Source organism: Homo sapiens, chromosome 6, assembly GCF_000001405.40.
Source record: "Homo sapiens chromosome 6, GRCh38.p14 Primary Assembly".
NCBI lineage: Eukaryota > Metazoa > Chordata > Mammalia > Primates > Hominidae > Homo > Homo sapiens.
The window spans coordinates 146,669,457-146,695,554 of NC_000006.12; the positions used below are offsets into that span (position 1 = coordinate 146,669,457).

Genomic DNA, 26,098 nt, shown 5'->3' on the forward strand with positions numbered 1-26,098 from the left:
TGAAATGGCTCTTCTTAAAGTCAACAAAGACCTTAATATTGTCAAATCCAGTGATCACCTCTCCTGCCTCATTTACTTGCATCCCAGTATGTGACCCTCTTAAACAAGTTATTTCCTTTTGCAACACTTGCTTCCCTTGGTTTCCTCAGCAACACACTCTCTGGGTTTTTCTCCTTCTTATTTTCTGCTCTTTCTCAGGCTTCTTGGATAGTTCCTCAACCACAGTACAGCTACTAAGTGATGGTGTGTAGCAGGGCTCCTGTCCTGTAACTTTAAATAACAAACTGTTTGACAATGATTTTCAAGTTTATGCCTGGTCACCATTGCCCGAACTCTAGACTGTATTTATCTACAACTGCCTAAGTTACGTAGCTATGTGAATGTCAAAAGTGTATCTTAAACTCAGAATATCCAGAAAGGAACTCTTGATTCTCAACCTCCTAAACTGCACCATCCCTAGAATGCATCATCTCAGTGAATTTCACTACCAACCACCTATTTATTCAAGCTAAAGAAAAAAACTAGAAGTCATCCTTCATTGCTCATTTTCCTTGCCTCTCACATAAAATCTCTCACTGGCATCTGTCAACAGTACATTCTCTACTTACTCTGAACCTATTTGTTTCTCTACATCTGCATTATTACCATCCTAGTTCAACCACTGATCACATGTAATAGACTTATAACTGGTCTCCTAGAGTCTATTTTACCCTCCTTTAGTTAAGTTGGTAATCAGAAGAATTTTCTAAAGTATAAATCAGATCATATCGTTTTCCTCGCTTAAAACCTTTCAGTGTTTAACTATTACACTTGAATGAAGTTTTACAGTCTTGACCATGATCCTCAGAGATCTACACTGTCTGATTCACACAGTCTCTGACCTCATCACTGACCACATCAATGTCTTGGCAACCATTTACTGGTCACCCAAGTCTTCTTTCTGTTTCTGAAATATAATGAAACTCACTCTACCTTACGGTCCTTACATGGGCTACTCTTATTTTTTTCTGCCTGGAATGACCTTTCATCAGATTATTCACCTAGCTGGGTATGTCACAACGCCTGGGTTTCACCAAGCTTAACCATCAACTCCTTAGACAGGCCTAGTTGAGCATCCAATCTAAGTTATTCCTTCCCCAAGTTATGCCACATTTCAGCTTCCCTTATTTCATTTTCATCATGGAAGTTATCACTGTTGTTATTCTCTGTCTCTGTTTTATCCAACCATTGGATGTAAAGTTGTCCACAAGAACAGGGACCCTCTTTTGTTTTGCTCAATGTAGTGCCTTCTGTGTTTAGAACAGTGACACGGAATGACTGGGATACAGTATGTGCTCAATGAATTGTGTAAAATGAGAATTAAAAAAAAAATTTTTAAAGGCTATACTAGAATACTAGGAGAGCGTAAAAGATTCTTTGGGAACTCAGAACAGAAACCTATAGTTTAATTCCTGCAGAGGATAATACTTGAATTTATCTCAAAGGATTAGTTGAAATGAATGAAGCTGATTGAGGTGGGGAATCCAACTCACAGAAGAAAATATATCAAGGAAATAGAAGAAAGCAGGGTGCATCCCAGAAAAACATGTGGTTCTGCATTATGTGCTATGGAATCCTAGAGGAGGAATAGGATGTGGGAATGGAAAGGTAAATAGGATCTAGATAGATAGGCCTTTTATGCCATGCTGACACTTTTACAACCTCCTTAAAATGATCAGATGTCACTAAGGGATTGTAGACAGGAGGATGACTGTATCAGACTCATGGTTTTGAAAGATTGCTCAGAGCCTTAGAACAGCAAATGGCAGGAGTGGAACAGCGAGACTGGCTTGTGCAGTATTCTTGAGGGGGGTCTTCTGAGGGCTTCTGCCAAGGAAGTGGTGATGAGAATGGAGAAAAGGGGATCCACTGCACTGAGAAAAGGTAGTATCCAACGGACACTGTGTTTTATTTGAAGGGGATTTTAAAGAGAGAGTCTTGGTCATTCTGAATTTTCTGCTTTGAGTACTAAGTAGAAGGTGATGCAGGACATTTTTGTTTACTTATCTTTTTTTATTTGCTTGGGACAAATACCTGTTAGGTGGTTGTATGTGTGAGTCTGGATATCAGGAGAGAGGTTTGAGCTGGAACTAATGATTTAGAGGTGACACACATTTATGGATAAACTCAAAATATGAGGAAATACTATGTAAAATGGCAAGAACACCAAGAGGAGAGCTGTGGGAAAAGAATTAAATTGTCAACAGTGAGCAGAAGAAAGGGAGTGTTCAAAGGAGTCTGCAAGTAATTTCTATGACAACAGAAAGAAAACCAGGAAAGAGGGATGTTATGGAAGCCTCAGGGAAGAATTAAAAGCAAGAAACAACACTGTCACATTCCACAGAGAAGCCTAATAAGATAAGGACCTTCTACATAAGTGATCATGCATGCAAAAGTGTCTGCCACTTAATAGATGCTCAAGGACATGTTCTTTCCCTGTCCTGGCTGTTAACGTGATTAGCTTCCCTACCAGGGCGAGTGATCTCTGAGATAACACCATGGTTTTGGTCGCTTTGTATCAGCAAAGCCCAGCACACAGTAGGCACGCAATGAAAGCTTGTTGAATGTCTAATACATAATGCTGTTCTTTTAACTAAAAATTTGAGTAACAATTGAAATTATTCATTAAATAGCAAGTTGATTTTTCTGTCAGTAATTTCTTGCGAAGTTCAAGGAAAAAAAAAAACATCGTTTGGAAATTAATGTTTTTGTCTTTTCTCTTAGCCCGGGATATATGGACAAAGTTTGGGAGCTCCTGAAAGAAATATTGCCTGAGTTTAAGCTGTCAGATGAGGCCAGCTCTGAAAGCAAAATAGCAGTGTTAGATTCTAAATTAAAAGAACCAGGGAAAGAAGGGAAGGAGGGAAAAGAAATAAAGGATGGAAAGGAAGTAAAAGACGTGAAGGAATTCAAACCTGAAAGTTCTTTGACAACACTAAAGGCTCCTGAGAAAAGCGACAAAGTTCCAAAGGGTAAGATATTTTACATCAAAATGTGATTCAGTATGGACATTGCATATAAATGCCTTACAATTTTATTTGATGTGTTGCTGGAAAGAGTGGTTTTGATCCAGACCCCAAGAGAGGGTTCTTGGATCTCACACAGTAGGGAATTCAAGGCAGGTCACAGAATGAAGTAAGAAGAGATAGTTTATTGAAAGCTCCTCAGTTACAGAGTAGGGCATCTTCAGCAAGCAAAGAAAGGTGCTGTCTTTGTTTTCAGTTTTTCTTTCTTTTTTTTTTTTTTCTTTTTGGGATGTAGTTGCGCTCTTGTTGCCCAGGCTGGAGTCCAGTGGCACAATCTCAGCTCACTGCAACCTTCATCTCCCAGGATCAAGTGATTCGCCTGCCTCAGCCTCCCAAGTAGCTGGGGTTACAGGCGTGCACCACCACGCCCAGCTAATTTTTGTGTTTTTAGTAGAGACAGGGTTTCACCATGTTGGCCAGGCTGGTCTTGAACTCCTGACCTCAGGTGATCCACCCGCCTCAGCATCCCAAAGTGTTGGGATTACAGGTGTGAGCCACTGCATCCAGCCCAGTTTTTCTTATATAGGAGTCTTATCTATGTAAAACCCAAGCTAAGCTAAGCTGTCCTGACAGCGTGACAAAATGTAGTATTCTGTTGATTTAAAGAAAGTTATACTTGGCATTCTAGTGCATTAAGTACATCAAAGCATAACAATAATTATCTTGAAAGCATACTTTTTAGGGGCATTGGGACATATGGACATATTGCTATCAGTATTGGGACATCTGGACATTCTTCTGTTGTAAGAGTGTGTCCCTTGCAGGTATCGTTAGGCTGTATCTTCAGCTATAAACATGTAATGACTGTGAGTCATGACTGGCAAGAAATGTGCCTTGTTATTCTTAAGATGGAGCTGAACTTAAAATGGGGTTTCTCAGGGCCTCTGAGGCTCCTGCTTCCCTAAGAAATGCATCTTTGTTGTCGTTATCCTTTCTTAAGTTTTTGTGACAACAGCCATGTAATTAAGATCTTTCTTTTCTAGGACTTTAGGACTTATAATGGTGTTTACTATATGCTAATTATTATTCCACATTTTGCTTTCTTTAAAAATAAAAAGCAATTCTCTACTTTGATGCTACTAAATTAATCTAGTATTAGCTCTCAATTTCCATTAAACACATATTTTTCCTATTTAAAAAGTAAAAAGTGGCAGAACTTGACAATGATGACTGGTAGAATTCCAAGCTGCAGAGCAAGATAGATGGTGGTACCATTTAGGAGAGATCACAAAATGATTTTGAATATATTGAAATTGAGGTGCCTTTAAGACAACCAAGTGGGTTTTTCATGTCAAGACTCCTAGGCTGGTGATATACACTTGGGAGTCGTTGACAAATTCCTGCAAAATTAAACCAGGAATGATATTTACCAAGGAGACAGTATAGAGTGAGCAGATGAAGGAGGCTGAGACTGAGTCCTGAAGAAGTGGAACATCTAAGAGGTTGGTACAAAATGACGAGCTGCTGAATGAAGAGTAAGGACTGGCCAGAGGAGCAGGGACAACATCAGCAGAGCATTTTGTCATCGGGGCCAAAGGAAAAAGTGTTGCAGGAACCAGAGATTGTATTAAATATTGTGGGAAGATGAACTATGATGAAAATTTAAATTTCTCAATTACAATTTGTGATATGGAGGTCATTGTGCACTTGTGAGTGATAGGAGTAGAAGATACATTGGAGGGGAGTAAGAAGGAAGTGGGAAGTAAAATAATGTATAAACAACCCTGTGAGAAGCTTGTCCTTGAAGAACAGGAAATTGCAAAGTGGAAGCTGATAGAGAAGAATGTGGGAGGCAGACAGAATATATATTTGTGAATCTAGTGAAGGAAAATTGGTTTTTTTTTTTAAGTGATGACTGGGAAGATCCTGCTGAGATGACTGCAGTAGTATATGTTTTCTGAGAAGAAGGAGCAAGTTCCACACCCCAGCTATAAGGGGATTGGGCCAGCCCAGGGAGAGCAATGGCTCCTCCATTCTCATAGGTGGGCACAGGTTATGGGAGAGTGGATACAGGTGTAGGTGGGTAAACGGGTTTGGTAGGAGAAGATGAGGACTTCAGACCAAAGACTTCTACTTTTTGTTTATACACAGCCTAGCTATGAGCTGAAAGTGAGGTGGAGGTGGAAGATGTAGATTCTCACGGAGATTTAAAATAGATGTGGCAAGGTTTGCAGAACTATGGGAGGATTATCTCCAGTGGGACTCAGCTGCCAAGTTTATTCAGAGTGGGGTTTTGCCAGATGGGTGGGATGAAATGACAGAGGAGCAATCCTTATTTAGGGTATTGGCAAAAACACATTTTGGTGAGCACTGTTGTATTCTATCCAAATTTCTATGTGAAACAGTTTGATTTTTTTCTATTTATAATTTTTATTATGTATTATTTTTAAGTCACAAATTCTGAATAGAAGTTTGAAAGCTCTTAAAGTCCTATTTGAAAATTATACATGCACTCAAATATTGCTTCCTAAAATTAGTTTTATTGAATTAAGGTAATATATATAGAAAATTCACAAATAAAATTTTGATAATAAACTTTTTAAAAACAGAAACTTCTTGGTTAAATGTTTTATCCTATGATTGAAGTTATAGTTATCTTTACTTTTATATCTAATTTAAGTGTTAAATCTGCTGAAAAAGCTAAGATATGGGCCGGGCATAGTTGCTCACACCTGTATTCCCAGCACTTTAAGAGGCTGATGCAGGCAGACCACTTGAGCTCAGGAGTTCAAGACCAGCCTGGACAACCTGGTGAAATCCTGTCTCTATAAAAAAGAAAAATAAAAAGAAAAGAAAAAGAAAAATTAGCAAGTTGTGGTGGTGCACACCTGTAGTCCCAGCTATTCAGGAGGCTGAAGTGGGAGAATTGCCTGAGCCTGGGAGGTCAATGCTGCAGTGAGCTGAGACCTCGCCACTGCACTCCAGCCTGGGTGGCAGAGTGAAAGCCTGTCAAAAAGAAAAAAAAAAGCTAAGGTATGAAACATGTCTATTTTGGATGTTCAGAAACATTATAAGTAGATAATGTCACAGTTTTTATTTACGAAAATTTTAAAGATGAGCAACCTGACCAATGATGATTACAAACTTAGCAGATGATGCAGAGAATGAAATGACAGAAATCTATAATTTCTGTCTCAGAATTGAGACAGATTTGTTAGGGAATTAAAAAAATCTTTGAGAAAAGTATTTTAGGTTGAAGAAGAATATGTTTTGTGGATTGAGTATATGAATGAGCATTCAAATGGTGGGAATCGTTCTGGATACAAGAGTTTTATTACCTAAGCCATGTAGGCAATAAGATGCTGGTTTGGGACTTTGGTTGGAATCTGGGCTCCACAAGAAAATATTTTGGAGTCAGAAAACTGTGTTTCCTGTAAGTGGAGGACCCAAATAAGGAAAATCTGAGAGGGCTCTACATTTAGGACTTAACTTTCAGCACAGGCTTTGCTGTGTTTTGTTTTTATTTTTAAAATGAGAAAATTACCTTGATACTATAATCTTATATAAATAAAATATATTCAAATAATTATCTCCATGAAACAAAATTATATACAGTAGATAAAAAGCAATGCTGTATTTATTTCATAATATATCTCAATTTTCAAAGTTCTCCCTGGCTTTATCATGGTGTTTCTAATTAGAGGGGATCATGTTTTGGAGAAATTATGGCATAATTTTACATTAAATAATACTATTATTTTGGCCTTTTTTCTTTAAGACAATGACTGAATAAGAAATATAGTTTGAGATTGTCTAGTTAAAATATTTATTGTGATTTTTTCATATGTTAGAGAAAGCAGATGCAAGAGACATTGGAAAGAAGAGAAGCAAAGATGGAGAAAAAGAAAAATTCAAATTCTCACTTCATGGTTCAAGACCCTCATCAGAAGTGCAGTACTCTGTGCAGTCCCTATCAGATTGTAAGCTCCTAATTTCTTAGAATAATAACTATTTTAGTTGTTTCTTAAAATGCTGGAAAACCTTGGAACATAGAAATACATTTTTTCTTTTGAAATAACTAAATAAACTTAGTCAAGGTTGCCATAAATGTTGGGTTCTCAGATGGGTGGGCGTGTTGGGCCAAGTCCTACCAATGACAGAAGCCTGTTGTCCAAATTACAGTGCAATTGTCACAGAAGAAGTATCCACATGTGGGAGAGGCTTCTGCTGGTCGCTTTCAGGTATTTCTCTAAAAAATACTCAGGTTGAATTTATCATCCAAATTAAGTAAATTCAAAGTTACTTGTTTGTGTGGTTAGATGCCAGCCACCAAATAAAACAAAAAGCCTACATCTGGCTCCTTGCTCACAGTGGGCCTCCAGCTCTTTTACTGTGTTTTAGAAAGTAACTGTGAGGCCGGAGACTCTGGAAGTCATTGTTTATATCACAATACTGACAACCACACTTTTTTGTGTATCGCATTGTGACTGGGTGGATGTACAAGAACTATTTATAATAGCCTCATTGTATAAAGGTCAACTATTTTTGTGAAAATGCTAGGGTTTCTCTATCACTTAAAATCACATTGGAGCTCTTTCATTTTAATTAATCTTTCCAATTTGGACTTACAAATTATTTCTAAAGACCCCTTGGCTACCGCATTTTTGTCCTGTGTACCAGCTAAAACAGTCTAGGTATAAGTAGCCTTTAAACAAATTGTATCAGGTTGAAAGAAAACAAGCTGTAAAAAAATGATACCGCAACCTATTCAGGAGGTTATCAGGAGGAAGACTAGAGTGTCTCTTTTGAGTCTCAGCTTTGGCTCATCTATCTTGGTGCTTCCAGAGTGCAGGTTATCATTTTCACCTCATCCTTTATTAGCTAGTCAAAAATATGTGTTTTTACATCTAGTAGTGTGCCTTATTAATAAATTTTTATCTTTTTTCTTATTATGATGATTTATATGAGGACATTTTAATAATTATGGCTTTTTATTTTTACTGAAACATGTCTAGTGATGTGGATAGAAAAAAGTCACTATTGTATTTTTAATTCTACATTAAAAATCATTTTCTTATATTGATGCCTTAAGCAATATTTTTTGATAGTGAGAAACATTACATTAGCAGATTTACTGATGGTTCTTCATCTTTGTGAAAATGGCTAAAACTTTCTGAGAGTTCTTTCTTTGTGAAAATAAAAGTAATGATGCCTTCCTTCTCCTGCTGAACTTACAGTTAAGGTCATTCCAACACATAGAATGTGGTTCAGTTTGGACTGTGGAGTCAAGCTGGTTGAGTTCAATATCTGCTCCAACACTGAGTGTATAAGTATCAGGCAAGTGATAGAGCCTCTTTAAACTCAGGATCTCTATAAATCAGCATTATTGTTTTGGTGAGGGTCCTTGTGAGAATCAAGTGTTGAATCCAGGTAAAGTGCTTAGCACTTGTTGGTAGAGCTACATTTTAGCATATTTATTGCAAAAGCCTTTGTTAATTCTTACATGTGCTAAAGATACAGTGTTAGAATGAACTCTATTGGAGTCCTTTATCTGGCATAAATATGAGGGTGGCCATGTGAACTTCCTTCTCCCACAGAGTTAAATCTAAGTGCATTTCTGATGGTGTTATAATTCATTTCCTTCAATCAGCTGCTTTGGTTTCACTTGTAAAGGAGATAATGGATAGACAGTAAGTGTTCAAGAGGTAATTGAGTGACAATTCAAACTCATATGGAAAATATAACATGACATTTATATTGTTTGTTTGTTTATTTGTTTATTTGACACAGAGTCTTGCTGTGTCGCCCAGGCTGGAGTGCAGTGGTGCAATCTCAGCTCACTGCAATCTCCACCTCCCAGGTTCAAGCGATTCTTGTGCCTCAACCTCCCAAGTAGCTGGGACTGCAGGCGCATGCCATTACACTTGGCTAATTCTTGTATTTTTAGTAGAGACAGAGCTTCATCATGTTGGCCAGACTGGTCTCAAACTCCTGACCTCAAGTGATCCACCCACCTTGGCCTCCCAAAGTGCTGGGACTATAGGCATGTGTCACCACGCTCTGTCTATATTGTTTATTGATGATTTGATATTAGAGGTGTTGTAGTTAATTCTGATAAGTCACTGAAAATCTAATATAAAGAACCCCTGTTTTATTAATTTTTTCAAAGTAGCATATTTATGACAACGGTCATTACAATAAAATGACGCTCACAGTTTTAAACGCCAAGGAGATTTAGTTTTATAATGGCAGAAGACATGTAGAGATTTATATATATTTACATGTCATCTAATATTATCCAATGCATATCCTAATAATGACTTGACATTTAAGATTTCATTTTGTTATTTTCAAAATAAGTGTATTCATTTAGGTACACTAGCTGGTATGACTAACAAATGATTCTAATGTCATATATATTTCTTTCTCAATTAAAATAAAAAGACTAGTGTTAATCACTGGCAGGAAGTTATTTTCTAAATGGCATTGAAGAGACCCATTCTCCTTCCATTTTATGCCTCTTCTACCTCTAGCATTCTAAAGTTCTATACCAGTGGGAAGAAAAGAGCTTGGAGGATTGCAGGAGCAAGATGTCTGAAATCAAAACAAGCTGTATTGTATATCACTTCTGGTCTCATTCTATTGAAGACAATTCAGTCCAATGGCCACACCTGACTTTAAGAGGAGTTGGAAATATGGAATGTGACGTGCTAAAGATCGCTCATTTCAGGAGAAAGAGGAAACCATTTGGTGAACAATGATCAATCTTTACCACATTCCACTTTCCTGATCACCAGATACCCCTTTCACTCTTCTTCTCACATATATGTTCAATACGTACCAAGAGTCCCAGTCTAAATTATTATCTAGTAATTTCATCTAGTTAAAATATCCAGGATCTCCAAGTCATGTACATGCACACACATGCTTACAGATACACCCATAAGTATCCATTCACATCTCTCATCTACTCTTGAAGAGGAACACAGTAACTGCGATATAAACTCCACTCATAAAACAAAATAGCAGGGGACACACTGTAGTCACTCATCATTCGCAATTCTAAAATTTGGCTGAGAAAGTCCTGTTAAGACCTTTTTCCTGGCATAAAGGGGAAGTTCTTTGGCACTGATTCTGCTCTCTTGGAGGAACTCCAAATTATAAAGTGTAAAGTGGGTTCATAAACCCACAGTCTTACTCCAGAGTTCACACAACTACTATGTTTTCTCTCCTCTCGATATCTATGAATACTAATATTTTAAACTGTAAAACTTATTGAAAACTTTTTTCTCTAAATAACTACATTGAAAATGTAGCTTAAAAAGAAACCTTGATGCAAATAATGACATTAATTACAAATACCGAAGTTCTATAAGAATGAATAAATCATACCCTTCCAATATTTGAGAAAAAATGATTATGAGAAATATTAGAGATTTGAGTTTTGCCAGTAACTTATTAACTATAGGGTAAGTTAGAATTTGTGTAGTACTCTAGTATAGAGTTCAGTATCATAGTAACTTTAAAAAATTGTTTCAAAAAAGCAAAAATCAATAACATTAGAATATGACTCAGTGGAATAGTAAGTTGGATATTTTCTGACTGTGAGAAAAACTGCTAGCTTTTCACAATTTCCTCCTCTTTCTAGGAACACAGTTTTGCTATATTTTCCCAGCCTCTTTTAAGTGAGATGTGGCCTTCTGTATAATTTCTAGCCCACAGGATGTGAAGCAAAGCGATACATACCAGCTGTAGACTGACCTATACCGTGCTCTCAATTACAATTCCCTTTTTGCTAGCTCAATGCTGTTGAGAGCACAGTGTTAAAGATGGCAAAGCCACAAGGATGGACAGAGCAGGAGTATGTGAATCACTACCTGGAGATCTGCCTGCTGGTCAAGAAGGTTCATTTTGTACTTTATATGAACAAAAAGAAACTATATCATGTTTAAGTCATTTTTTAGTGTGTTCCTTATAGCAGCTACAATTACCTCATGATAAATTAACTCCTGCCAGAAGTTGAGTACTAATAACAAGGTGAAAATATGTGGTGTCTGCTTAACAGTAGAGTAGAAGGCAGTGAATAAATGGTATCTCAAGCTTGAGGAAACCTGGAGATCTCCCTCATACAGCAAAATATTTGGTAAAACTGGAACCTGCGACAATTTAGAAGTTAGCCATGTACTCAGTGAACCTGAGTCTCTAAAATAAGTGGTTGAAAATCTGCTATTCTAGGCAGTGTTAAGTTTGTAATATCTACTGTTAGCAAGATATTTCAAATAAGAAATGAGTTCAGGGAAGAATTGTCTGTTTTTCCAAAATAAATGGGAAAAATAGAGAAATTTCTGAGATCACAGAACATACAAAATTGAAAAAGAAGGCTATTTCTTTACCACAATTAATTGGAGATAAGGCTGGTGTTGAAGAGAGCCATGCTCCTCCCTTTTTATGCCTCCTATACTCTAGCATGTGAATTCTAAAGTTCTATACCAGTGGGAAGTAAAAGAGCTTGGAGGATTGCAGGTGCAAGGTGTTTGAAGTAAAAACAAGCTGTACTGTTTATCACTTCTGGTCTCATTCTATTGAAGACAATTCAATTTCATGGCCATACCTAAGTATTTAACAACAAAAGTCCAGGATATATTTTGGATATTTGTCCTCGCCCAAACTTCATGTTGAATTGTAATCCCCAGTGCTGGAGGTGGAGCCTGGTGGGAGTGGACCTGAAGGCAGATCCCTCATGGCTTGGTGCTGTCTTCATGACAGTAAGTTCTTGCAAGATCTGGTCGTTTAAAACTGTGTAACATCTCTCCCTACTCTCTTGCTTGCTCCCATTCTCACCATGTGAGACATCTGCTCCCTCTTTTGCCTTCTGCCATGAGTAAAAGCCCCCTGAGGCCTCCCCAGAAACAGATACCAGATCTAGGCTTCCTGTACACCCTGCAGAACCATGAGCCAATTAAACCTCTTTTCTTTATAAATTATCCAGTCTCAGGTATCTCTTTATAGCCATGCAAGTATGGCCTAATACAGTCCAGTAAAACTTAAACAACACACCTGGTTGTGTCAAAGATTAAGACTGCAACCTCTTTGTTGCAGCTATCTTCAAAGTGGCCTCTATGAAGCAAAGAAGCAAAGAAGTAAATTAGCCTTGGGAATTACACTCAAGAAAGAATATGGACATGTGGAACTGATGAAAGAAATAGATTAGAAGCCCACTAATATATATTATTTTAAAACTTGTATTAAGAAATTATGGACTTGGTATAAAAAGTCTTTTACTTTTCAGCTTTGCATCAAATATTGGACCTGCAAACATTGTCTGGTAGGAAGTGGGCCGGAACACATTCGAGTCATTATCCTCTTTAGATATTGCCACATAGAATCATAGACAATAAAAAATTGCCAGAAAGACCAGGGACTACTTTACACTTCACACTTCTTAATTGTGTAGTGGACATGTTACTTAACCTATCCGTAACTCAGTTTACTTGCCTGAAAAATACTGTTAAAAATAGAATTTATTTCATAGGGTTTATGTGAACTGACTCATATGAAATACCTAGGCCTTAGCACAGAGTAGGCATTCACTGAAAGTTAGCTATTCTAAATTAACTAAATATCACATCTGAAAAAAATCATATATAATCTTTAACAAATACTTCTTATGGATTTATAGTAATTTGGGGTTCATCTCACTGGGACTCAAAATTTCAGGCTGAAATTTTTATAGGTTCAGACAGTAAATGTCTAACATAAAATGAAATCAATGATAAAAGTGGTATTTAAGTAATCTTACGTATTTTATAGCAGTCTTCTGAAATATGCTTATAGAAAGCAAAAAAAGCTGTATCACATGTAAAATAAAACATTTAAATCATACAAATGTAGCAAAAGCTTCTTTTGAGCAATAAAATACATATAATTAGTATGGCAGTTGTAGGCCATATAAGACTCATAATTACTGTACAAAATATTTTAAGGCAGTTTTAGAGACTAGGATGTTAAATTTCATTTCATCATTCAAGAGTATATTTTTTCTTAAATTTCTTTCTCAATTATTAAGCATTATTATATGCAGCTGTGCTAATTCAATACAAAGTTACTCCAACAACTGGAAAGATAAGGAAATTTCATGGTCTGTACCATTCATAGTTCACTGAAAGAAATTATAGAGCCCCTAGATTTAAACATTTGCCTTTAAGATATTCTAAAAGCAGTTTTATTGATATATAATAAAATCAAAATGCATTATGGGTGTTCCAATATTGCAGAATCACACAACATATTTACAGAGAGATAATAGAACAAATAGGAATTATCTAAGGCCCTTTAGACCCTTTACAAATAATTCTTATATTTTCTTGGCTAATAAACTTTTTTGAAAATCTTATGAAAATTTTGAACCTTCTCTCTTTTTTTTCCAAATCCTTTGTAGTCTTGGTTGAATGTGTCTTCTGGAGTCCATGTGCTAGAATTTTGATCCCCAATGCAACCATATTGGGAGGTGGGGCCTAATGAGAGGTAATTAGGCCATGAGGACAGAGGGAATGGATTAATGCCATTATCATGGGAGTGGTTAGGTATCCCAGGTGTGGGTTTGTTATAAAAGGGTGAGTTTGGCTATGGGATGACATGCTTATTTGGCCAGGGGATGACACAGCAAAAAGTTCCTCACCAGGCGCCAGCACCTTGATCTTGGACTTCCCAGCTTCCAGAACTGTGGGGAAATAAACTTCTGTTCTTTAAAAGTTACCCAGTCTCAGGTATTTCATTTTAGCAGTACAAAACAGACTAAAGCAGTTAGTGTGCACACAGATCTGCAGTGTTACATAATAGTTCACTGAGTTCTGGGCCCCTGAATCTCATTTATAAGATGTATAAAACTTAGTTTGAAAATCCCTATTTAATAGCACATTCCTATCCAGCTTTTACAGATTGATATTTAGTTAATAGCACCAGTATAGTGATACCAATATTTATAATCAGCTTCTAGTTTAATTAATCTGTGCCCATGCTATACCACTTATTAAATATTTAAAACTTCACCCTTAACTAAACACTTGTGTTATTTTTTAATATTTCAACATTACATATTACAATCCCATGTAAAATGTGTGATTATCCTAAAATTTGGAGCAAATTTTTTTGTCATCAACATCATTTCTATAATATGTCAAGACCACATTCTTTACTCCAAGTTTCTAAAGTTATTGTTTTCTAAGACCTCACCTGGAATTCCCAGGTTTCCATATATTTTATTACATAATGTTATAAAGTAAGTGAGAACTTTTTTCAAAATACTTGTATCACAAACTTTATTTTTAATATCATAAGGAAAATAAAAGTTCAAAAGACTTATTAAAGATCAAGGACAAAGTACTTAATGTGATAATATTAAATATTAAGCTTTAGAAAATTTTAGGGAAGACATCAAAATTTCTAATGCATAATGTACAAATGTGGGATATAATGTGGACCAAAATACTTTTACACGTTATGATTTTTAAAACAAGATTTAGAAAAGAGCTAATGAAATAGATCAACCTGAACGAGCCATGGGGTGCCCAGACATTTGGTCAAACATTATGTAAGGTGTGTGTTTAACATCTGGAAACTCAGCTGACTTTTTGTAAAGAAGCCCAATCTTGCTCAGTAGCCAGGCTCAGAGAGGAACCCTCACTCTTCTTCCCTCCACCTCTCATGCTTCATACTTTCCTAAGGTGTAGACAGCCAACTGCTTAATCTTGAACCTGGAAAGTACATTTAATCTTATCTTCTTCCTTGAGCAGAAAGTTCTGAAGATAGATTAAAAAAACTGATTTTTAAAATTTTATCCATTTTAATATTTAGCAGTCATCACTGTCAGGAACTTCCTCTCCATAACTGGCCTTCAACTCTCAGCTGACACCTAAAGGCATTTCACAATCTTTCTTTTGATTAGAGGACTTATTGGAGGGCTTCAATTAGATTGATCAGTGAGAAAAGTAACTGGACTGTAAATTACTGGTCACTGCTGAGGGCCATTCTGGTCAATGTGGGTATCTCAAATGGTCTTATCTGATGATAGGAGTGCATGAAAAGTATTTTCATAAACATTCATTCTTTTTAAAAGGAATAATTATTTTGCTGCATCCTTAAACTTAAGATGATTAGTTATGTTTAAAAACATATTATTTCATACAAGTTATCACACAATACACAGTACCTTGTATTCCACAAGGAGTAGGTCAAATTATTAACCAAGCCTCTGCAGAGTTAGTTAATCCAACTAACTTTGGATTAAAAGTTAGTTGGGGAGACAGCGTCTGTGGACATTAGATGATAACTAACATCATCAAACAAATGTAGCATAGATAAATGAGTAATGTAGGGAAAAGGCAATCAATATGTGTTGGCAAGGTGTATGAGAAATGTACAAATTTCAATTTTGAAATGTAAAAGTATGTTTCTCTAAGTTTGGCAGATTTTCATATCTCCATTCTAGACATATACTGGGCTGACAACTAATTTATGTTCTGTGGTCTTAAAGATATTATTCTTTTGTAAACATAGTATCAAATATAGTTAAATGTCAGTATGTACGTTTGTAAAAAAATTTAATTAAATATAAAAAGAGGCTAAAATAAATTGACTTCTATTTATTTGTCCAAAATATTTGCAGGACCAAAAAATACTGAATAAAATAATCAAATAGAATAATTTCAAGGATAAGAAAAACATTACAAACAAATAAGCAACGCTTAAAAGCAAATTCTACCAGCATTAAACATTTCAAACTAAATTATTTATGCCTTACTTCTTCATGGAAAAATTCATTTTACTTATGTTTTCTTTCTTTTTGAAATGACAAAATGACATAGAAGCTCCTGGACTTTCTGTAAGTTCAACATAGAATAAAGATCCTATCTATGAAAGAAAAGAAATGCTTCAATTTAAAAATAATTCCTTTTGAACATTCTCATTTGTGGACCATTCTATGTTGCACTGACGAATAACTAGAGTATATTTATATAATAACTCTTGTTCATGAGGTATAATAAGGTCTTAAATTATTAAATAGTAACAACGTGAACTTAAAATGAATGAGACAGGCTACAAAATAGATACATCTTTGAGATTTAACATCTGTTAAATTCATTTTGCATCCTTTATGTATTTTTCACCAGCCCGAAGATAAATTCATTAAGGCAATTGAACAATCTGGAGTGAGCAACTGACAGACCGATTTTGACTAGAATTTTCACAACATAATGTATGTTTGTTTTACAGGTTCTTCTGCAATACAGACCTCTCATATGGTCGTATATGCGACATTTACACCTCTTTATTTGTTTGAAAACAAGATCTTTTCATTAGAGAAGATGGTAAGCATTCAAGCTTAGGAAACAGTATTATTTATTTTGTGTGTGTGGGTGCACGTGTGTGTGTGATTACTTGCTGTGGTAGAAGGCACATGAAAATTTAATTAAAATTCTATCTGTGGATGTCAGTTTCCTTATCTTTAAAATTAGATACTCGACCTAAGGCATCTGACACATCCAAAATTATCTTAGATGATTGCAATAGCTCTGGCTAATTATAAAAAAGGAAAAGAAAAAATACATAGTCACTTTTAATTTTTATAGATCCTTCTGTTATAATCAAAAAGAAAGATACAGGATTTATGTATTTCAGTGAAAATCATAGAAATTATTCCCAGGTAATAATTAATGACCTTCCCATAAATAGGCCACATGCGTTTTCTTAAAATAAGATGATATTAGTGAATTCACCCTCAGGCTGGAGAGATACTGCTATGACCTTTCTTGTATCACAAAATAATACAAAATAAATGCTAATTGTTTTCTTATACATTTAACAAATTGTAGAAAATTTAGAAAATGTAGTGAAAGGAAATACAATTAAAATATTTATAGTATAAATGGTAAGGCATAGGCCCTATTAACATTTTGGCATATATACTCTGATTTTTCTTCTATATTCTGTGTTTGTATGTGTATACCTTTTTTACTGGAATCACACTTTATGTTACATTTGAAAACCATCTTTTCACTTCACAAGATATTGTTAACATTTTTTTCATGATGTTAAATTTTAATCAATATGTTTAGTGCTTGCGTAGTATTTATGCATTTTCATAATTTTTAAGCTATCTATTGTTCTTGGACAGAAAAACAACTTTTCTCCTTCCCTTGTGATGGTGAAGTCCATCAAGTTATTAACAATTTATTTAAACAAATGCCCTACTGCTTTTGGGGTTTTTGAATCCCAATTCTGTTTGGGAACTGTAGACATCTAACACTTTGTTACTAGGATTTCATAGTCTGAAGTCACTACATTAAAGTATACAACTGCATGATGCAGCAATATGATTACATATGAATGTTCATTTAGTTAGCTAGAAAGAGCTATGTTTTAAAACTTGAATGGAAATTAGCTTGAAACATAAATATTCCAATTGAATGATTATTATACTTTACTATGTGCATTACATTTGTCTTTTAGATTATGCCTGGGGGGCACGTTGCTAACATTTTTCCCTTTCTCTTTCTTCCCATTCTTTCTTCTCCACTTTTTTAGATAAAAATAATTCCTTCCACAAAAATTTTACTATATAACAGTGTTCATAAGAGGATTATGTGCCATCCTGAATATGGCAGTTTCACTATTTTTAATCCAAAGTTAGAAAACATTAGCCATGGTTAAATAGCAGAAACAGCAATTTGGACTGAATATAAAAACCAGCAACATTCAACAATCTAAATGTACTTCTAAAGCCTCTCCCAAGTCAAGCCTCTTGCTAAGATTAGGGCTGGCCTTCTCACGCCTGCCTTTCTTTTAACCTCTTTGCATGCTACTGGCCTACGTGCTGTCTCAGATATGCTAGCGAGTAAATGCTCTAACTCATTGGACTGCTGAAGAATACCAGCAATGCCCCATCAATGATAGACTGAATAAAGAAAATATGGTACATATGCACCACGGAATACTACGCAGCCATAAAAAGGAATGAGATCATGTCCTTTTCAGGGACATGAATGAAGCCGCAAGCCATTATCCTCAGCAAACTAACACAAGAACAGAAAATCAAACACCACGTGTTCTCACTGATAAGTGGGACTTGAACACTGAGAACACATGGACACAGAGAGGGGAACAACACACAACAGGGCCTGTTGTGGGATGGGGTTGAGGGGAGGGAACTTAGAGAATGGGTCAATAGGTGCAGCAAACCACCATGGCACACATAGACCTATGTAACAAGCCTGCACATTCTGTACCTGTATCCTGTTTGTTTCTTTTTAGAAGAAATAAAGAAAATAAAAAAGAACACCAGCAATGCTTTATGGAGTGCCATAGTCTCATGTCTGAGAAGTATTCAAACCCCCTTTAAAACCACAAAGTGTAAGCACAGGATAAAAGCATTACAAAAAGAATGGGGTACAAAATAATCCTTTTGAACTTTTGGTGTGCTACTGAGAAACTAAAATTTAAATACTGTTCATTTTTAAGTTAAAAAACTAAGACTAAAGACTAAAAACTCACATCTGTTTATTCATTGGTTAATTCAACAGATTTTATGAATTATCTATGATATACTATTATACGCTAAACAATATGCTATCTTCTGAAGATACAATGATAAGCAAGATTGACAAAGTTCTCTCCACAAAGCTTAGAGTCTAATGAGGAAGGCAGACAACTGAGTGAACTGCAATAATACAATTAGAACAGAAGGCATACAAGGTGCCTGCCACGTAGTAGGTGTAGGTGAATTAATATTTGTTGGAGGAGTAACCAAGTGAACATATGGTTAAATGAATGAAAAAAAAAATGAATGAAAGACATAACAGAAACATGTCATCCTTTCTAATGGGTAGCCAGGGAAGTCCTCCCTAAGGGAGAACTGTTTAAGCTGAGATCTTAAAGAAGTTAGGCAAGTAAATGGGATAAAGTGTGTTCAAAGCAGAGGAAATCTTACGTTGGAAAGTTTGGAGATGAAGAAGATTCCACTGGGTTCAAGGAACTACTAGATATTGACATCATAAGGGGAGAAGACTTAAAGGCAGCTTGAGGCATGCGTGAGAGCCAAGGCATAAAGATTATTATAAATCCTCCCTTTGGGGAAGTTTAAGGCTTAAGGTGCCCAGAGGTTCTGGAATTAGCCCAGTGTCTGGAACAGTAAGTGACTTCCAAAGCTGTAATGAACTGACTAGTGTGTCACCATCTTCCTGTCTTGCCTGCTGATTCTTTTAGGTTAGCATCCTGTGAGGGTGATCTGGTTTCCCTGGTAAATATCAGAATATAATGGAGATACAATGTCTTAAGAATATACCTATAGGAAACAATTTCTGTCTTAATGAAATTTTGTTAAATGGAGTACATTGCTAAAAGTTACAGCCTCAAAGACAGTAAGATCAGCAGGTAAAATAAAGCCAAGAACTTACATTTATTTAAAGAAGTGGTAAAAAAGAAAAATACACGAAAATCAAGAACAAAACTCGGGAAGGAGCAAGATGTTACAAATTACATTATCCAACTTCTTTCTCCTCTTGGGTATTCTAATGGTTTTAGTTTTATGTAGATCTGAGAGTTTTAATAAAGCCTCTTTCACCTGCCCAAATCCAACTCTTGCATCTGTTAGAATGTTTGAAATGAGCTGAAGTAAAAAGAGTGAAAGGGTCTTAGGAAAGGAAACTTCTAATTTAAGTCTTACACATGAATTATGCAGCATATGTATATTGAGTGCCTAGGAAAAACTCAGTGTTTCAGGCACTATTGTAAATCTCCCTCATCCCCTAATTGTAATCCAAGGAACTTTGAAATCCTTGAACAAACTTTCTCAGCATCAAACTATAACTATTATTAATAGCATTACTTTACATGAATCAGAAGTATTGCTTAGTACATTGAAAATAAAATGAAGTATGTAGAATTGCTGTATTTAAATTTCTTGTGCCAAAATCATGTTAGTACTTTGGCAGATTATTCAAATTATAAATAGGTGCTAATACTGGAATTTGTTGTTTGGACCAGTCCTTTACATTTCCAAATGCTTTAAATCATTTTATTTTCTAATGCTCTACGGTCTAAAAAAAAAGTGTTTTTAGACTAAAATTTGTTGCAATGGCAGGAAGAAATTAACATATGTAGACCAAAAATTATGACTAGTAAAGTATCTGGAACTTATTCAACTTTTAAATACCACTTTGAGTTTGACTTCTATTTTGGATATTATTCAAATGTAACTTTTACAGTAATTCACCTTTTATAACTACTATACCAAGGCATTTTCTTTCCATTGAAAGAATTAGTTTCAGGTGGTGGCTTGACTCATGGAAACTTAAAACTCGACAGGGTTCAAGTTATAGAAAAAGGTTTAGATCTTAGAACATCTATGAAAAAGTTTTTTAAGGCACTCTAAGACATAATTCCAGAGTTTTCTGAAATTTTTTAGTTAAGTTGCTAAAATATACCAAAGGGATAAAAAGAAAATGACAGTTTCCTCCATTTCTTAATTCGGTGACTTAACAACTATTGCATCACTGTTGTCTGTATTTTGAATATTTACAATATTTTAAGCCACTGCTGGACTCACTAGTGCACTGATTAACTCCTTCTTAAAATTATTATCCTGATCTTGGGAAGGACTCTACTATCTCACGGGTCTCCTACCTCGGGGCAGATTGAGCTCTACAGCAGAGTTGTGAGAGCAAGGCAGTTTCCAGTTGAAGTAATAATTTGGAATAGGCTGATAAGTGGGTTTCTGGTTCTAATTTAAGTGTCTGTTTTGTAAATTTGCAATCTGGATTGTGGCTATTGCATAGAAATCATTGAGACAACATAATTAGGAAGAAAAACAGTTATTGACAAAATCGGTCAAAATTGATTTTAATGTTGTTAATATTTCAATTTATTTTACTTTAAATGTTAAAGTAAGCTGTGAACATCAGAATTTGGCTATAGTGTATATCACTTTAACATTCATATACCTTTTTATTTCCTTTGGCATTGTTCAGCCGTAAATCAGTAACGTAAGTTCTACTTAGCTGTTATTCTGAATTATTCCAAAGCAGACTGGCTTCAGGAGATCTAACACTAGAATATGAGAAGTATCTGCCTGGGCAACTCCTTGATTGTAATCATGTGTAATCATGGGGATCTTATGTGGAGGAACACATTGTTAGGGGAAGAGGGGTGAAGTGTAGACAAGACAGCCACTTACCACTGAACACACTCAAGAAAGTAGTATTTAAAAAAATTAGGTAGCAATGGCTAGTTTTTTTTAATTTACATATTAAGCACTAGTGTTAAAGCATTAACCTGTAAAAATAATGGCTGATTAATTTTGGACTAACTGGTGTGCTAAGATTTTGTGCAATCTCATTCATCCTTAAGCTTTTAGAACTGAAAAGTGTATTCTAGTTCCAATCTCTCATTTTGTAAATAAAGAAACAGGGCTCCAGAAAATTTAAAAGATGGAAAGAAATACAAATGATAATAATGCTTATATTAAGAGAGGTAGAGATATTGGGTGATTTTTTTTCTTACTACCACCATATTGCTCTGTTCGTGATAGTATTTTTACATTGGAAAAAGCATTGTTTTGAATGAAGGAGAATGCTTTTCAATTTACTTTCCATCTTCTAGGCAGATTCTGCTGAGAAACTTAGAGAATATGGGCTTTCCCACATCTGTAGCCATCCTGTGCTGGTGACTAGAAGTAGGTCTTGTCCTCTGGTAGCACCACCAAAACCACCTCCTCTACCTCCCTGGAAACTCATTCGTCAAAAAAAGGAAACTGTTATAACAGATGAAGCTCAAGGTATGTATCACATCATCTTCAAATCCTTCTAATTAATGTATGAAAGTCTAACAGTTTCATCTGCGGTGAAAGATGTATGTCAAGGTAAATCACCCAACATTGCTTCTAAAGCCTATGTTTAATATATATATATATATATATATATATATATAAAAATATATATATATAAAAATATATATATATATAAATATATATATATATATATATATATTTTTTTTTTTTTTTTTTTTTTTTTGAGACGGAGTCTCGCTCTGTGGCCTAGGCTGGAGTGCAGTGGCATGATCTTGGCTCACTGCAAGCTCCGCCTCCCGGGTTCACACCATTCTCCTGCCTCAGCCTCCTGAGTAGCTGGAAGCCTATGTTTAATTTTATGCCAAAATTTTATGTCTTTAAAGGATTAATTCTTCACATCTCAGAAGCTAAGGAGTTTGGTTAATGTCTGACTTGACCACATATATGAAGCTCATTCTTTTGAGTTATGGCGATGTTATTATTAGTGTGATAGAAAAGTAGTTTGTAGCAAAGTGCATCTGCTTTTAGGGTTACAAAAACTTCCCAGTTTTTTGTGTTTGTTTGTTTGTTTTTTCCTTCCTTCCTTCTTCCTCCTTCCATCCCTCTCTCCGTCCCTCCTTCCTTCCTTGTCTCCTTCCCTCCCTTCCTTCTATCTTCTCCTTTATTGTTTCTTGAATGGAAGACCAGCATCTGTTTGACACTTGAAAGGAAAACAAAATCCTTTATTTTAAAATGTTATATTTTGGTTAAATTTGCAGAGCTTCTTAAAACAGTTATTCATTCAGGGCATTGAGGAATAGTTGAATGAAAGGAAGAATAGTGAACATGTAGGTAATTTCTGATTTTGCTACTGATTGCTGTGTACAGTCAAAGAAAATTTAGGTATTCCATGTCCTAGTCTCTTTTTTTTCCTAATAATCACCCCTAATGTTTAATTTCATTGTTCACCATGGTAATGCAAGTGCTGTGTCCTTTATTCATTGAGAATTTCTTTCTTCTGGATCAGCCTCAGACTCCTTTAGGAATATCCACAACACCTCTCCTGACCTGCTGCTTTCTTTTTACCTCATGATCATTACTTTGCTACAGTTTTTGTTCTTCCACTGCCGTATTCATATGTTAGTTCACATTTCCTCCTTATATCCTAAGCAATTGTGTTACAGAGGTTAACTAAGGGAACTTTTTTTTTAGTAAAAGACTTTTATAGAAACTCATTCCTGTACTTGAAATAGCAGCAAATACCAAGTAATAATTCTATAAGACATTGCTAACTTTCTCCCTTGAGACTTGTTTCACATAATCTGGAAAGAAAAGAGTAGACAAAAGAAATTGAATACCGTAAAGATCTATAAACTCTTTCAATAAAAGCTTTATGTATGGTTTTACATTCCTATTTCACACTATTGAAATTTGCTGAGTAAATAGTTAATCTATCCAGCACTGTATTAAATGTTAAATTCTGTATGCAATCCTGAAAGATTTTTTTAAATGTACATCATACTTTCTAACTGCTACTTTTTAGAGTTAATAGTAAAGAAGCCTGAACGGTTCCTTGAGATTTCAAGTCCATTTTTGAATTATAGAATGACTCCATTTACAATTCCAACAGAAATGTAAGTATTAACATTCTTCCTCACAAATGTGTCTTGTTAGTAAATACTTTGTGATGTGTCTGGCTAAAGATAACACCAAATGGGAGCATTTTGAAGAATAGTAATTTTAAAATAAGCCCAAATACATGTAAAAACTTTAAAAGGACATTTTCTTGACCTTTTATAGCTTGTAGTTACATTAATCCACTTAATTAACAAATAGTTTTTACTAATTTCTTGTGTGTGTTATGAGCTGAATGTTTGTATGCCCACCAAATTCATAGGTTAAAGTTCTGACCTGCCAGTGTGGCTGCATTTGGAGGTAAAGCCTCTAAGCAAGCAATTAAGGTGAAATGAGTGATAAGGCAGGGGTACTGATCTGAGAGGATTAGTGACCTTCTGAGGAGAGACACCAGAGAGTTCTCTCTCTCTCTGTCTCTTTCTGTCTGTCCAGGCACACACACAGTGGAAAGGCTACGTGAGCACACAGAGAAGGCAGCTGTTGGCAGGCAGGAAGGAGAGTCTTCATAAGAAACAAACCCTGCTGGCACCCATCCTGACTGGTCTCAGACTTCCAGTCTCCAGAAATGTGAGAAAATAGATTTCTCCTATGGTAGCCACCTAACCTGTGGTATTTTGTTACGGCAGCCCGAGCAAACAAATACGGACTTTGGTACAGAGAAGTAGGGTGCAGCTGTAACAAATATCTGAAAGTGTGGAAGTGGTTTCCACATCTTCCTTGTTCTCTTTCAAATAGGCTTTCTCATTTTTCCCAATATGGATAGGCTGAGAATTGTCCAAATCTATTTCTTTTTTCTAGCATTTTACTATAAGGAGTCAAGAGAAGCCACGCCGCACTTTCAACACTTTGCTTAGAAATTTCCTCAATCCAATATTTAATTTCACTGCTCACAAGTTCTACCTTCCGCAAAACACTGGAACACAGAAAATCAGCCAAAGTCTTTGCCTAACAAGGGTGGCTTTTCCTCCATGGCCCAATAACATGTTCCTAATTTCCATTTGAGACCTCATCAAAATGGCCTTTACTATCCATATTTCTACCAGAATTTAGTTCACAGACACGTATATATTTTCTAAGAAGATTGAGGCTTTCTCTATAGCTCTCTTCTTTCCTTTTTGGGCCCTTTCCAGAATCATCTTTAAAGGTCCGTTCATGGCAATGTAGGCTTTCTTTAGCATGTACCTCCAAACTCTTCCAGCCTTTATTACCCAGTTCCAAAGCTGCTTCCACATTTTAGGTAGTTACCATAGCAGCAATCCCACTTGCTAGCATTCATGTTCTGTCTTAGCCTGTTTGGGCTGCTATAACAAAATACCATAGACTTGTGGCTTGTAAATAACAAAAAATTTATCTCTCATACTTCTAGAGGCTGGGAAGTCCAAGAACTGCACGCCAGCAGAGTCAATTTCTGGCAAGGGTCTGCTTCCTCATGCATGGCATCTTACCACTGTGTACTCACCTAGTGGAAGGGGTGAATGAGCTCTCTGGGGTACCTTTTACAAGGACACTAATGCCATGCATGCAGGTTGAGTCACCTCCCAAAGGCCTCACCTCTTAATACCATTATTTCAGGGTTTAGGATCTCAACATATAAATTTGATGGCAGAAGTATATACACACCTTCAGACCATAGCACCTTCCTTCCCCTTCATCTAGCAAGTAGTGTGTTCTGTTGATGTGTTTTGTAAATTCATCCAGTTCTTCCCCTAAAATGAATAATATATAAAACTCCTAAAATAATACATTGCAGCTTTTTTAGCTCCCTATCTACATGAAAAATCTTCAAATATTTGACAACAATTATATATGCACCACTCCATTCTCTTATTATTAGGTTTCTAGATGTGTAAAAAAATACTGTGTAAGTTATTTTCCAGTCCCACTGGACATTTCAGTTACAAAAGCCAGTGGAATTTCTATTCTTATTAAAGCTACTATGAATTAGCCTTCTGTCACTTGGACACAAGCAGTCCTAACTGATACTGCAATATAATAGAAATGCAATGCAATGTTATCAACAGTGTCATTAATTTAGTCAAAATTTGGGCTAAATTAACCACTTGTAATATACACATTATTAATATATTAAATAATGTCTTTCCTTCTTAAGTAGAGCATACTCAAAGCCTTCCTTGCTTCCTGGATGAATCATACTTAGCATTATTACTATACTGTCTTCTAACAGAGGGACCTCAAGGACTTTGAGGAACAATGACCCTAACATTCAATGACCTGAGACTACTGGCTTTTCCGGGGCTTTGTTTCAGTGATTGGCTTAGTTGTAGTTTTAATTTTGCTTTCATAGTACTAATGATGTCTTTATCAGTTCTTAATATTGTCTGCTTCCAATAGCCTTCCCTTCTCCAAATTTGTTTGTAATTTTCTGGGTGTAATGAGTAACATCACCAAATTTTTAGAATTAGTTAACGTTGCTTTGTATATACTTATAATAAAGACATTAACAGTTAGCATATGGGCTTTGTATCTACACTGTAACAATTGGATATTTAACATAGTAACTTGGAAATCATAGGCATTAAGTAAATCATAGGTATTAAGTAAATATTAATTGAATTGATTAAAATATTAAAATATTTTGAAGCACCTAAGTTATTCAGTATTTAAAATTATGTTCTTT

The 26,098-nt window shown here is 35.5% G+C and overlaps 1 protein-coding gene across 1 annotated transcript in view; it reads left to right on the forward strand.

The window, feature by feature from the left end:
- ADGB (androglobin) overlaps positions 1-26,098 on the forward strand; it is a 216,491-nt gene that overhangs the window by 70,485 nt on the left and 119,908 nt on the right. The window contains exons 8-12 of the mRNA NM_024694.4: positions 2,764-3,011; positions 6,857-6,985; positions 16,278-16,372; positions 21,660-21,834; positions 23,369-23,459. Coding sequence (NP_078970.3) covers positions 2,764-3,011; positions 6,857-6,985; positions 16,278-16,372; positions 21,660-21,834; positions 23,369-23,459 — 738 coding nt within the window. The remainder of the gene's footprint in view (positions 1-2,763; positions 3,012-6,856; positions 6,986-16,277; positions 16,373-21,659; positions 21,835-23,368; positions 23,460-26,098) is intronic.